Source organism: Homo sapiens, chromosome 10 (genome assembly GCF_000001405.40).
Source record: "Homo sapiens chromosome 10, GRCh38.p14 Primary Assembly".
In the NCBI taxonomy this organism is placed as follows: Eukaryota; Metazoa; Chordata; class Mammalia; order Primates; family Hominidae; genus Homo; species Homo sapiens.
In genome coordinates, this window is record NC_000010.11 from 23398956 (window position 1) to 23412915 (window position 13960).

The 13960-nt window shown below is 40.8% G+C and overlaps 1 pseudogene, besides 3 other annotated features; it reads right to left on the reverse strand.

Moving 5' to 3' along the window:
* Window positions 1–574: 574 nt before the first annotated feature.
* LOC124902591 (uncharacterized) lies at window positions 575–644 on the reverse strand (annotated as a pseudogene).
* Window positions 11039–11540: an enhancer, noted in NCBI's record as "NANOG hESC enhancer chr10:23698923-23699424 (GRCh37/hg19 assembly coordinates)". NCBI's record gives its function as "activates a minimal SCP1, AML or CMV promoter by ChIP-STARR-seq in naive H9 embryonic stem cells {active_cell/tissue: H9 hESC(naive)}" and the evidence as "EXISTENCE:reporter gene assay evidence [ECO:0000049][PMID:30033119]".
* Window positions 13291–13491: a silencer, noted in NCBI's record as "peak907 fragment used in MPRA reporter construct". NCBI's record gives its function as "represses an SCP1 promoter by STARR-seq MPRAs in K562 erythroleukemia cells {active_cell/tissue: K562}" and the evidence as "EXISTENCE:reporter gene assay evidence [ECO:0000049][PMID:32103011]".
* Window positions 13491–13691: a silencer, noted in NCBI's record as "peak908 fragment used in MPRA reporter construct". NCBI's record gives its function as "represses an SCP1 promoter by STARR-seq MPRAs in K562 erythroleukemia cells {active_cell/tissue: K562}" and the evidence as "EXISTENCE:reporter gene assay evidence [ECO:0000049][PMID:32103011]".

Below are 13960 nucleotides of genomic sequence, written 5' to 3' on the forward strand. Positions count from 1 at the left end.
ACTGGGGACAAAGCCCAAATGTATTTCATATTATACCAGTTTGTCTCATTGTGCAACTGATTTTATTTTCACTGGAGAGAGTTGTGTTAACTTCTGCTTTGATTCCATTTATATGGCTGGTGCTCACCTTTCAGACTTGGGCCTTCAAATGTAAAATGTAATTATCACCCACACAAAATCATACAATTATTGTGTTGTTTCTGGCACTTTTTTTTTCTTTTCTTCATGTCAGACAGGTAATGTGCTGATGTCATAATGAGGTTCAAGGGTGGCAGGTTTCTTTTTTTCTTTTTTTTTTTTTGACAGAGTCTAGCTCTATTGTCCAGGCTGGAGTACAGTGGTGAGATCATGGCTCACTGCAGCCTCCACCTCCTGGGTCAAGGGATCCTCCCACTTCTGCCTCCTATATAGCTGGGACCACAGGTGCACACCATCATGTCTGGCTAATTTTTATATTCTTTGTAGAGACAAGTTCTCACTTTGTTGCGGAGGCTGGGCTCAAACTCCTGGGCTTAAGCCATCCTCCTGCCTCAGCTTTCCACAGTGCAGGGATTACAGGTGGGAGCCACCACACCTGCCAGGGTGGCACATCTCACACATATGCATGAATACCCAGTCATCACGCTTATGAACTACTAAAGGATCTCTGGCACTTTTTAAAAAGCCCAATAAGACAACAATTTCAGTTGAAGTCACAGTAAAATGTGACAAAAGATCTGAGAAATGTGCCTACTGGAGTCTCTGGACTGTTTCTTGACCGTCACACCCATCTCTCCCTTTCTTCCTGGAGGAGCACTTGACAAAGAGAGGTGAGTCCAGGTCACTCATAGACACAGCCACATGGAGCTCGACTCTGTCCTGGCAGCAGACATGCAGAGTCCAAGGCCAAGAGCAGCGGGAATAGGGACTGACGTGACATTTGGATTCGGACTGGTACAGTTTGGAGAGATTAAGGGCCAGATACTCAGATTCACTTTCTTACCCTCTTCCAAGGGCATTATTTAATAGTCTGTTTACACATCTAACACTTGCTTGCTCTAATAATAGCCATGGGTCTGAATCACCCTCGTCACTGAGTGTTACACAGAGTCCTCAGCTGTTTCTATGACTTGCATGGTTGGTGTTCAGCGTTATCTGGAAACCTCTAAGAATGTGCAGGGTAATCAGTGATTTTAATTTTAGCTATGCATGACGTGAGGGATCTTCTATGTATTTCTATTGACCTGTCTTTAAAACATGTTGTATAACGATGAGAGGAATTCCACAGAAAAACTTCAATAAGAATCCCTACACAATACATATGTAACTATATACAAATGTGACTTAAATATATTAATAGAAAATGTATATTACTATTATTACTGCTCTACATACAATCAATTTTCGGACATAATCGAGACAGACACCTGTATAAATGAGAACTTATTCAGTGGGCTTCTGGGGTACTAAGAATATTCAGTTTCTTGATCTGGGTGCTAGCTCCATAAATATATTCAGTTTGTGAAAATTTACTGGACCAAAGACTTATAATATATGCCCTTTTCTGTATTGTGTTATACTTCCACAAAGAGTTTTAAACATTTACTATGTAATTTAAGTTTTTTGAGGAAAAAATTGAGCAATTGCAACTATATATCATACACATATGACAATCCATATTTCAGCTACATCCAAGATCAAATTATTTTTGAAAATTTTGCAAAGTTCAATAGACCTAAATCTCTCATTTAAAGGGGACTCTGTTTTATCTTTCCCAACTTTCCCCCCAAAAACAAAAATAACATTTCTCTCCTCCTCACAATTACAGAGATGTAATAAATCAACTTTTAAAATAATCCTCTCTTTAGTCATATGTATTTTGTTGTAAAATTCCACATTTTTTGGAAAGTGTGGGAAAATAGGCTCTCTAATTCATTGTTGATGGAGTACAAATTAGTATAAACTCTGCAGATCAATTTGAAGCTATCTATAAAAATGTAAAATGTTCATGAATTTGATCAAGCAACTTTACTTAAGAATTATTTCATATCATTGGAAGTGAAGTCATTGAAAATAATGATAATAATAAGAAGAACGATCCCAGAAATACACTGAGAAGTCTGTAGCATTTTTGTTATTTAGTCATTCATACACTCAACATTCAGCTGACATATATTTAATGAGTACCTGCTGTGTAGTAGGTGGAGTGCTGGGTTCTGGGGACATACTGATGATCAAAACAGCTGCAGTCCCAGCTCTGGAGGACTCTTAGAATGTCTATATGCCAGTTGGAAATATAATTATCAAAATATGAATCACACGATTTTTTACTGTTACACATTTAATTTAAAATTACAAAGCCTCTAATCCCAGCACTTCAGGAAGCCAAAAAAGGAGGATCACTTGAGTTCAGGAATTCGAGGCCAGCCTGGACATCAGAGTGAGACCTCGTCTCTACAAAAACATAAAAGGCTGAAGTGGGAGGATCACTAGAGCCGAGGAGATTGAGGCTGCAGTGAGCTGTGATGGCACCACTCACTCCAACCTGAGTGACAGAAAAAGACCTAGATTCTAAAAAATAAAAAATAATAAAATAAAATAAAATTACAAAAGAAACCAATGACAAATTATTCAAATGATTTTAATTATTATTCCATTTCAATGAAGACAAATGTATAGAACATGTATAGAGAAAATTTAGAAGACATTAATAGGGTTATTATCTGTGGATGGGGTTATGAAGGACTATCACTTAGGATACTTATTTCTTACTTAAATCAGAGGCAGGGTCTTGCTATGTTGCCCAGGCTGGAGTGCCATGGTTATTCACAGGCTTCGTCCTTGAACTTCTGGGCTCAAGCATCCTCCTGCCTCAGCCCCCCAAGTAGCTGGAACTATAGGTATGTACCACTATGCCCAGTTTAAAATGTTTGAATTTTTAATGATTACTTATAATTTTGTGTCTGGATATACATGTACATGGCACATTTCTAATTGTCTTTTTTTTTCTTTTTTAATTGAGATAGAGTCTCACTCACAGGTTGCCCAGGCTGGAGTGCAGTGGTGAAATCATAGCTCACTGCAGCCAAGAGTTCCTGGCCTCAAGCGATCCTCCTGCCTCACCATCCCTAATAGCTGGAATTACCAAGCTAATTTTTTTAATTATTTTAATTTTTACTTGTCATTTTTTATTGTTTTGAGACGAGGGTCTCATTATGTTGCCCAGACTGGTCTCAAATTCTTGGCCTCAAGTGATCCTCCCAACTTGGTCTCCCAAAGTGCAGGATTACAGGTGTGAGCCACTGTGCCCTACTATCTTCTTCATCTTCTTCTTCTTTTTTTTTTTTTTTTTTTTTTTTGAGACAGAGTCTCCCTCTGTCACCCAGGCTGGAGTACAGTGGTGCAATCTTGGCTCACTGCAACCTCCGCCTCCTGGGTTCAAGTGATTCTCCTGCCTCAGCCTCTTGAGTAGCTGGGATTACAGGTGCACGCCACCAGGCCCAGCTAATTTTTGTATTTTTAGTAGAGATGGGGTTTCACCATGTTAGTCAGGCTGGTCTCGAACTCCTGACCTCGTGATCTGCCCACCTCGGCCTCCTAAAGTGCTGGGATTACAGGCTTGGGCCACTGCGGCCGGCCCAAATCATCTTCTTAAACTAAATTCAGAGGGATCAGAAGTAACTCTGATGTTAATATGGGTTTAGTAGCTACCGCTATGATAGCTGATTAATAGGCAGTAAACAGCTGAGGCCAAAACATGCAAATATAACTGCACCCGTGTGTGTAGGTCACTTAGGATAGGAAAGCAATACTAAGAGACAGCTCCTTTTAGATAAACTAAATAATAAGATTAAGATACAGAGTGAAAAGCTGGAGGAGCAGGCAGGTAAACTTTCACTGACCAGAGGCAATTCTCTTCAAAGGCTTAGACCTGGGCACAGTATTTTTTAGATAGTTACACAGAAAGCCCTCTTAACCTGAAATCCAGGCCTGAAAAATCCCAGTGTGGTGAGGGTTAGTGGCATGAACCAGTTAGTCCCAGGGAACAGATGTTAAATTGTGTCATGATTATTCAAGAAATGTGCAGCTGCATTACTATTTTACTTGGGACACTTTGTATCCCAAGATTTCTTGGTCAGGCCCAGTGGCTCATGCCGGTAATCCCAGCACTTTGGGAGGCTGATTCGAGAGGATGGCTTGAGGCCAGGAGTTGGAGATCAGCCTGGGTAACATAGTGAGATCCTGTGTCAAAAAAAAAAAAAAAAAAATTAAATTAAATTAAAGATTACTTTACCATAAGGAGATTTTTAAAAAATTGTTTGTCTGTTTTAATTCCATAAGGCTGGCTGGCTGTGTGTTACATCAGAGGTGCTCAAAAGGGAAAAATGTCCTTTAAGGTTGTTATTTATATTTGTTGACATTTATTGATTGCTTTTGATGAGCCAAGCACAGTACTAAACAAATTTTGTGCGTATTGTCTCACATAATCCACATAACATATGAGCTAGATACTAATATTAAACTCATGTCAGTCCTCCCAACAACCCTATGAGGTTGGTTACTATTATAAGAACCATTTCACAAATAAAGAACTTTCCCCAAGGACACATAGCAAATAAGTGGGAAGAGTCAGAGTCTAAACTAAAGTTTGTTATAATTCTAAGCTTGAACTCCTGCTCTATGTATAAGGAAATACAAGGGAAGGGCTCTCAAGTGTGCATGGCCTCAGAAAGAGAAAGCCTCATCTCACAAGCATAAAGCTGCATGGACCTTGGAGATCTCTAGACCAACTTTCTGATCATCCAGATAGGGAAACTAAGGCACAAAACTCTTGATCACACACTTAGTAGCAGAGCCAGGAAGCCTGAGCAGGACTTCCGGACTCACAGGCTTCCTGGCTAACAGGCCAGTTGTTTTTCCATTGCCGTCTGTACTTGTGTACATTGGAAGTGTACCTGCCAACAAGAGGATGATTGTGAACTGGGTGCAGTAGTGCACAACTGCACTCCCAGCTACTTGGGAGGCTGAGATGGGAGGATCACTTGAGCTCAGGAGTTTGAGACTAGCCTGGGCAACACAGCAAGACCCCATTCCTATAAAATATATACATATATATATTTTGAGACAGAGTTTCATTCTGTTACCCAGGCTAGAGTGCTGTGGTGCAATCTCCGCTCACTGCAGCCTTGACCTCCAAAGCTCAAGGGATCCTCCCACCTCACCCTCCTTAGTAGCTGGAACTTCAGGCTTGTACTATCACACTTGGCTAATTTATTTTTTATTTTTATCTTTTGTAGAGGCAGAAGTCTCACTATGTTGCTCAGACTGGTCTTGAACTCCTGGGCTCAAGTGATCTTCCCACCTCAATCTCTCAAAGTGTTAAGATTACAAGAAAAAAGATAATGGTTGAAAGCCTTCCATTATTGGAAACTAAGCTTTTCCTCCTCAGCATTGTCAGTTCCTGATCTCCCACCCTTCTTTCACTTAAGCTTAACTTTACGTGTCTCTGAGCAAGAATTCCATGTCTAAAGCTATTACAGAAATATACCCATTGTTTCTAAATATCATTTAAAAAATTCTAAATGTATAATCTAGACAAAATGTTTGACTAAGAGCACGCAGTTGCCATGGTATTCAAGACAGCATCTACAGCACACAAACACATGCCTAATATAGTTGTTTCGAATTACAATAGAAAGCTGCAGGCAGTGAATTCAGGTAGGGTGAGGCGATGAAAAAAATAGAACATACTTCATGATTTTTTCACTGTTTTCAAAACCATCATTTCCAACTGCTGCCAATATCATAACTGCCATCATCTATAGTCACAGGACTGGCATTTGCTTCTGTTTATTGGGAGCATCTGGGGCCTGTGTCACTGTTAGCTATAAATAGATGATCCTCAAAACTACTTATTGACTACTTATGTAGAGCAAATGCTCGGTCACTAAACATGCAAGTATTATCTTGTCGGGGTACAGAAGGGAATGTCACAGCTTGGCTGAGAGAGAAGGACTTTATTTCATTTATTTTATTTGTGGGTTTTTTTGTTGTTGTTGTTACTTTTCGTTTTATTTATTTATTTGTTTATTTATTTTTTGTGACAGGGTCTTGCTCTATTGCCCACACTGGAATGCAGTGGTGCAATCATAGCTCACTGCAGCCTCCATCTCCCAGGCTCAAGCAACCCCCCCACCTCAGCCTCCTGAGTAGCTGGGACCACAGGTACATGCCACCAGCCTGGGCTAATTATTATTATTTTTTGTCTTGAACTCCTGGGCATCATGCCTGGCCACAACTGATTCTGAATCACGGAAAAAATAACATAAAATAGGGCTTGGAGCAGTGGCTCATGTCTGTAATCCCAGCACTTTGGGAGGCCGAGGCAGGAGGCTCTCTTGAGCCCAGGAGTTCGAAACCAGCATGGACAACATAGTGAGATTCTGCCTCTATCAAAAACACAAAAATTAGCTGGGTGTGGTGGTGCACGCCTGCAGTCCCAGCTACTTGTGCGGCTGAGATGAGAGGATCCCTTCAGTTTTGGAGGTTGAGGCTGCTGTGAGCTGTAATAGCACCACTGCACTCCAGCCTGGGTGACAGGATGAGATCCTGTCTCAAAAAAAAAAAAAAAAAAAAATTAGCATCAGCTGTAAGAGAGGAACTTTACACAAAGAGGAGCCCCTGGCTTTCAGAAGGTGTCCTGGCAGCAACAGCTGGGCTCTGTTTCCCTGCTCTTAGACATAGATGATCTCACAGAAGCAAACTCTGACAAGGTTATCCTGAGACCATAACAGAATGAGAGATAACAAGCCTATTTCGTAAGTTTGTTTAAGCACTTACAAAAGCAAGGCCACTGTACGACCCACAAAATACCAGACTTTTTCTCCTCTCTTGTTAAATGACTGACTGCAGCCGGAAAGGTGCCTGTGGTCCCAGCTACTCAGGAGGCTGAGATGGGAGGATTGCTTGAGCCTAGGACTTTGAGGCCACAGTGAGTTATGATCACACCACTGCACAGCAGCCTGGGTGACAGAGCAAGACCCTGACTCTAAAAATAATAACAATAAAATAAAATAAATAAAAATGAGTGACTGCCGCTTCTATACCCAATCATAGAATTGTCCCCTCTTTCTGACAGTTACCTAATTTAGGGCAAGTCACCATGACCTTAGGCCTTCCTCCAAAATCATTCAGCTAGCTTCTTCCAACCAGATTCTTTCTAACACCCTCTTACTGACACAACCCACAATTCTATATGGTGTGTGTTCTTGATGCAATGAGCAATAATCCAACATCTTTAACTACAGGTGTGTTCCTGGTGGTCTTTGGCTGGAGGGAACTACCTCCTCATAGCATGTAATAGATGTTTCAATTATTTTATCTGTTTACTTTTCCTTGCAACCGCTCAACTGGCGGGTAACTTTTCAGAGAACAGAGACCATGTTTATCCTGTTCTCTACTTTATTCAAAGTTCATAGCTTTATCTGGGATATGGTAAATGTTCAAGATTTTCTGAATAAATGAATCAATATGAGGGGTGTATTAGTCTGTTCTTGCATTGCTGTAAAGAACTACCTAAGACTGGGTAATTTAAAAAAAAAAAAACAGAGGTTTAATCGACTCACAGTTCCACAAGCTGTACAGGAAGCATGACTTGGGAGTTGTCAGGAAACTTACAATCATGGCGGAAGATGAAGGGGAAGCTCGCACATCTTACACAGCTTGAGAAGGAGGAAGAGGGCAAAGTGGAAGGTGCCGCACACTTTTAAACAACCAGATCTCGTGAGACTCACTATCTCAAGAACAGCAATGGGGAGTCTGCTCCCATGATTCAATCACCTCCTACCAGGCCCCTCCTCCAACACTGGGGATTACAATTCCATGTGAGATTTGGATAGGGACACAAATCCAAACCATGTCAGGGGGAATTCATATTCCCTGGTTTCCTCACATCTCTCTTATATATCCAGGAAGCCAGCATTTAGATACTAATCTTGCTGTGGGGAGGAACTCGTCTCTTGTAACTATTAATGTACACTGGAAAATGTACATAAAAGCACTTTGTAAACCATACTTAATCCTACTGTAGCATTACTGTTAGTGGCCATGACAATTTGGCCTCCAAAGTTTGGATTTCACCTGTTCCCAAACGGCTGTGAAGATGTTTGCCTATTTCCCTGTTCTACAGTATATCACTTTAAAAATAAATTTTCTTGTTTTGCTCTCTGACCACAAAAGCAATATCTACATATTTTGGTATTTGCAATTTGGTATTTGGAAACTTTGAAAAATATAAACAAATATAAATATAGATAAATATAAATTAGGCTGGGGTGGTGGCTCATGCCTGTAATCCTAGCACTTTGGGAGGCAGAAGCAGGTGGATTGCTTGAGCCCAGGAGTTTGAGACTAGCCTGGGCAACATAGTGATACCTTATCTCTACAAAAAAAGAATTGTTTTTAACTTAAAAAAAGAAAGGAGAAGAAAATAAACTGGCATTCTATTCTCAAAGCAGATTCCTTTTCCCCCAAATTGAGTTTAAGCCACCTCCTGGTTTGAAAGTTAAGGCTCAGTATTTCAGTATTTAGAGACTTAAAGAGAAATGCAAAGTATATTAGATGCTTAAAAAAGAAATTTTGAAGGTATTTGGTGAGAGGACCCAGGAATGCCAGAATCCTGCCTTGCCAGTATCCCATCACCTTTTTCCGTCTCTTAGGACCCCTCCACCTACCTTGAGTAATGGCCACAGGAAACAAGATTTCTCTTTATTTGTTATGCTTGAGTTTCAGAGAACCCTGGTAAAGCTGCATTCAACTCTGCAGTTAGGCTGGAGAAATGAGACAGGTAGGGGTAGAGAGGAGGGGACTAAAGGGGAAAGGTATTTTCTGTGTTTGTGTGTGTGTGTGTGTGTGTGTGTATTTATATGCTATATATAAAGAGAGAGCATATGCTTATATATACGTGTGTGTGTGTGTGTGTGTGGACCTTGATGGAAAGTCCTTTCATTAGCTTTCCCAGTGAATTGAACTCCTTTGAAAGTGTTCTTCTGGCTAAAATGTATGTATTGGGAAGGCATTTCTTTCAATTGTGTATCTCTTTTTTCTCTTGCAAAATCAAGCCATCCATTTATCAGGTAAAAATAATTATCAAAAGCTTTTTAATTGCTTTTTTCCTTTTATTCTTTCTTTCTTTTTTATTTTAATAGGTTTTTGAGGAACAGGTGGTGTTTGGTTACATGATTAAGTTATTTAGTGGTGATTTCTGAGATTGTGGTGCATCCATCACCTAGGCAGAGTACCCTGCACTCAATGTGTAGTCTTTTATACCTTATCAAAAGTTTAACAATAGAAAAATTGCACATATCAGACTGGGCACGGTGGCTCACGCCCATAATCCTAGAACTTTAAGAGGCTGAAGCAGGTGAATTGCTTGGGCCCCGGAGTTTGAGACCAGCCTTGGGAACATGGTGAAACCCCATCTCTACCAAAAATACACACACACACACACAAATTAGCCAGTCTCATAAGTCGGTTTCAAAATAAATAAATAAATATTGTTAAAATTGCACATATCAGTGTCATTGTTCTAATGTCCTGCTAGTGAACAAAAATGTTAGTTGATACCAACAAGCAAGGATGTAAGTAATATACAGGCACTTTAGGACCATTCACAACCATTATTGCCCACTAAAATTTAACAGACTCTCTGTACTTATGTATGACGTTAATTGTGTGTTAAACTGATAAAACTTGGGTTGTTAAAACTCTAGCGTGTCATATCACTCTAACCATCTGGTTGATCTAATAAATCCCAGAAGTCTCTATGATGTCATCAGCAGCCAATGAGAGTGTCTGTTGGCATGCAGTCACTGCGCGAAATAACTGTTTACTCCCTACCATATGCTTGGTACACACTGAGCATTGTCCCAAGAAAGATGAACGAATGCCTTTCTGGAGAGCTCATAGTGAATTACCGGTGTGATAACCACACTGTTAACATACTCCAAGCAAAGGAATTGGTATTTAACTAGTTTGTGTAACCTTATGAAACTATGGTTTCATTCATCTTTTTAAAATATTAAAAATAGCTCTAAATCTCCATTTCTATCATCCTGGACTCCTGATGGGAACTGCTGTTAAAGCGCAAGCTTCAGCAGCACTGACACCAATGTGTCAGCAAGTCAATCTCCATTTTCACTTTTATTATGCCTGTGGATTTAGAAATTTATTAAGGCTGGGCACAGTGGCTCACACCTGTAATCTCAGCACTTTAGGAGGCCAAGGCAGAAGAATCACTTGAGCCCAGGAGTTCAAGACCAGCCTGGGCAACTCAGACCTCATCTCTACAAAAAAATAAAAAAATTAGCAGGGCGTGGTGGTGCACACCTGTATTCCTGGTTATTCAGGATGCTGAGATGGGAGGATTGCTTGAGTCCGGAAGGTAGAGACTGCAGTGAGTCATGATCACACCACTACGATCCAACCTGAGTGACAGAACAAGATCCCAAAAACAAACAAAACACACACACACACACACACACACACACACACACACACAGAGTATATATGCGAAACTCTTAGTTATCAGTTATAAAATGAGGAGAAACATAATAAACTATTTTAAAGTTACGAAACATCTCTGAACTCAGTGGTATTGCCTGTATACCGGGAGCAAAGTGATCCTAAGTGTCAAACTAGATCCCAGATGGTAAAGTCCTTACAGAGGTTTTTCTTAAGATGGTTTTGCATGCAAAACTTCATTATCAGTGGTATAATTTAAATGTAAGTAATATACAGACACTTCAGCACAGTTCACTGCTATTATTGTGCACTAAAATTTAAGTCACTCTATGCTTTTGTATGATGTTAATTATGTGTTATCTTGATAAAATGTGGGTTGTTGAAACTCTAGCATACTATCTAAGAACTTTATGTATTAAGAGCCCACTTTCTGTTTTTTAAAATTTCTTTTTCTTGAGACTGGGTCTCATGATGTTGCCCAGGCTGGTCTTGAACTCCTGGGCTCAAGTAATCCTCCTGCCTCAGCCTCCCAAAGTGCTAGGATTACAGGTATGAGCCACCATGCCTAGCCCAAGACCCCACTTTCTATTCTTCACAAATATGCTTACTACAGTTCACTTAGGCATTCAAACAATTAATGATTGACCTCTCTCAACTGGATAAATACAATATTTATAGGATAATACACTCTCCTTTTAATTGACAAGGTTTTTAGATGGGTCCTAGAAATGTCACTCAAGAAAAGCACTAAAAGACCTTCAGAATCAACATGAATTAAGACGCATCTTCATCACAATAGATACTGAGAATAGATCTCAAGATGTATTCATGAGACTAAATGGAATTTACTTTCTTCCCAGGAAAGTCTTTAGACTGAAAAAGGCAATATGTATGACACGCCAGTTAAAAGAATGCCAGGCCGGGCGCGGTGGCTCATGCCTGTAATCCCAGCACTTTGGGAGGTCGAGGCGGGCGGATCACGAGGTCAGGAGATCGAAACCATCCTGACTAACAGGATGAAACCCCGTCTCTACTAAAAATACAAAAAATTAGCCGGGCGTGGTGGCGGGCGCCTGTCGTGCCAGCTACTCGGGAGACTGAGGCAGGAGAATGGTGTGAACCTGGGAGGAGGAGCTTGCAGTGAGCAGAGATCACACCACTGCACTCCAGCCTGGGCCACAGAGCGAGACTCCATCTCAAAAAAATAAATAAATAAATAAAGAGAGTGTCCTTGGTGGGGCATGGTGGCTAATGCCTGTAACTCCAGCACTTTGGGAGGTTGAGGCAGGAGAATCACTTGAGCCCAGAAGTTTGAGACCAGCCTGAGAAACATAGCAAGACCTTGTCTCCACAAATGATTAAAAAAATAGCCAGGCATGGTGGCTTGCACCTGTGGTCCAGGCTACTCGGGAGGCTTAGGTGAGAGAATTGCTTGAGCCTGGGAGGTCAAGGCTGCAGTGTGTTCTACTGCACTCCAGCCTGGGCAACATAATGAGACCCCCCCTCTCAAAAAAAAAAAAAAAAAAAAAAAAGAGTGTGTCCTCTGGAATAGGACTGTCTTAGATTCAAGTCTCTACCCTGCCACTTACTATGTATTCTATGCTTCAGTTTCTTCACCTGTAAAGTGGTGGAAATAATAGTATCTATGCCATAAAGTGATTGTGAAGTTCAACTAAGTGAATACATGTAAAAATCTTAGAACAGTGGCTGGGACATACTAAGGGCTCAATAAATATTAGTCACTATCATGTGGTTTTTGTCCAAAAGTTGTATTAAAAATAATATTTCCAGCCTGGCATGGTGGCTCATGTCTGTAATCCCAGCGCTTTGGAAGGCTGAGGTGAGTGGATCACCTGAGATCAGGAGTTCGAGACCAGCCTGGCCAACATGGTGAAACCCTGTCTCTACTAAAAATACAAAAAAAATTAGCCAGGCCTAATGGTACACTCCTGTAATCCCAACTACACGGGAGGCTGAAACAGAAGCATAGCTTGAACTCGGAAGGTGGAGGTTGCAGTGAACCGAGATTGCACCATTGCACTCCAGCCTGGGCTACAGAGCAAGACTCCATCTCAAATAACAACAACAACAACAACAACAACAACAATAATAATAATAATAATAATATTTCTGGGCTGGGCACGGTGGCTCACACCTGTAATCCCAGCACTTTGGGAGGCAGAGGCGGGTGGATCACTTGAGGCCAGGAGTTCGAGACCTACCTGGCCAACGTGGTGAGACCCTGTCTCTACTAAAAATATAAAAATTAGCCAGGTGTGGTGGCAACATGCCTGTAATCTTAGCCACTCAGGAGGCTGAGGCAGGAAAATCGCTGGAACCCGGAAGGCAGAGGTTGCAGTGTGCCAAGATCATGCCACTGAACTCCAGCCTGGGCAACAGAGCGAGACGTTGTCTCAAAAAAATAAATAAATAAAATAAAATAAAAAATAAATAAATAAAAATTTCCAGAGCTAACATTAATCAGATAATTTCTCAAGCAGTGGATTGAGAAAAAGTTGACTCCCTTCTCTGCCTGCCATTTTTTTTAAGCTTGTTTGTTTTTAAATAAAGGTCATTTGATCTTGCTTTTATTATTGAGTAAATAGAGATCCACTAGAGTGCCTTTCTCCCTAGCGGGTTTTTCAGTAATATGAAAACTGCTGTGTGGCTAAAACCTTGCTTCTTGGGACGAGTATTTTTTTAAGTATCAAATAATGACCGATAGAATTTAGTGATATACTAAGAATATTCTGCCTTTGTCTTTGCTATCATACTCAGAAAGAATCCATTAGACTAATCAATATAATGTTATGGTTGCCAAGTTGCAAAGTACCATATCCCTAAGGTTGATGCGAAGCGACCACAGTTTTAGCAATGCTTCTTGACTCATCTTTTATCTCTGAGTCATTTGTCACCACCCAAACTCTTGCCAAAGTTAATCCCCTTCTGAGAAAATGCCCAAGTAAATGATACAGTGTGGTATTTTTGAGTCTCTGATCTCACTTCAAGAGCCAGAGATGGAGAAAAATCTCTGTCTGGAAAAAACAAAAAGGAAAAGGAAAATCACAGTCAAAAGGAAGCCCTGCAGAAAAAGAGAAGTTGCTATTTTCCATCAACTATTTTGAGATCATTTGTTTCCCTATCCCTGTGTTCTTTTGTTTTCTAAGCTTAGCTCTGGAGGAGCATGAGTGCCTAGAATGGGAAGGAGAGATCACATTCAGATTTAAAAGAAAAATAGAGGCCGGGCACGGTGGCTCACACCTGTAATCCCAGCACTTTGGGAGGACGAGGTGGGTGGATCAGCTGAGGTCGGGAGTTCGAGAACAGCCTGACCAACATGGAGAAACCCCGTCTCTATTAAAATTACAACATTAGCAGAGTGTGGTGGTGCTGAGGCAGCAGAATTGCTTGAACTCGGGAGGCGGAGGTTGTAGTGAACCGAGATCACCCCATTGCACTC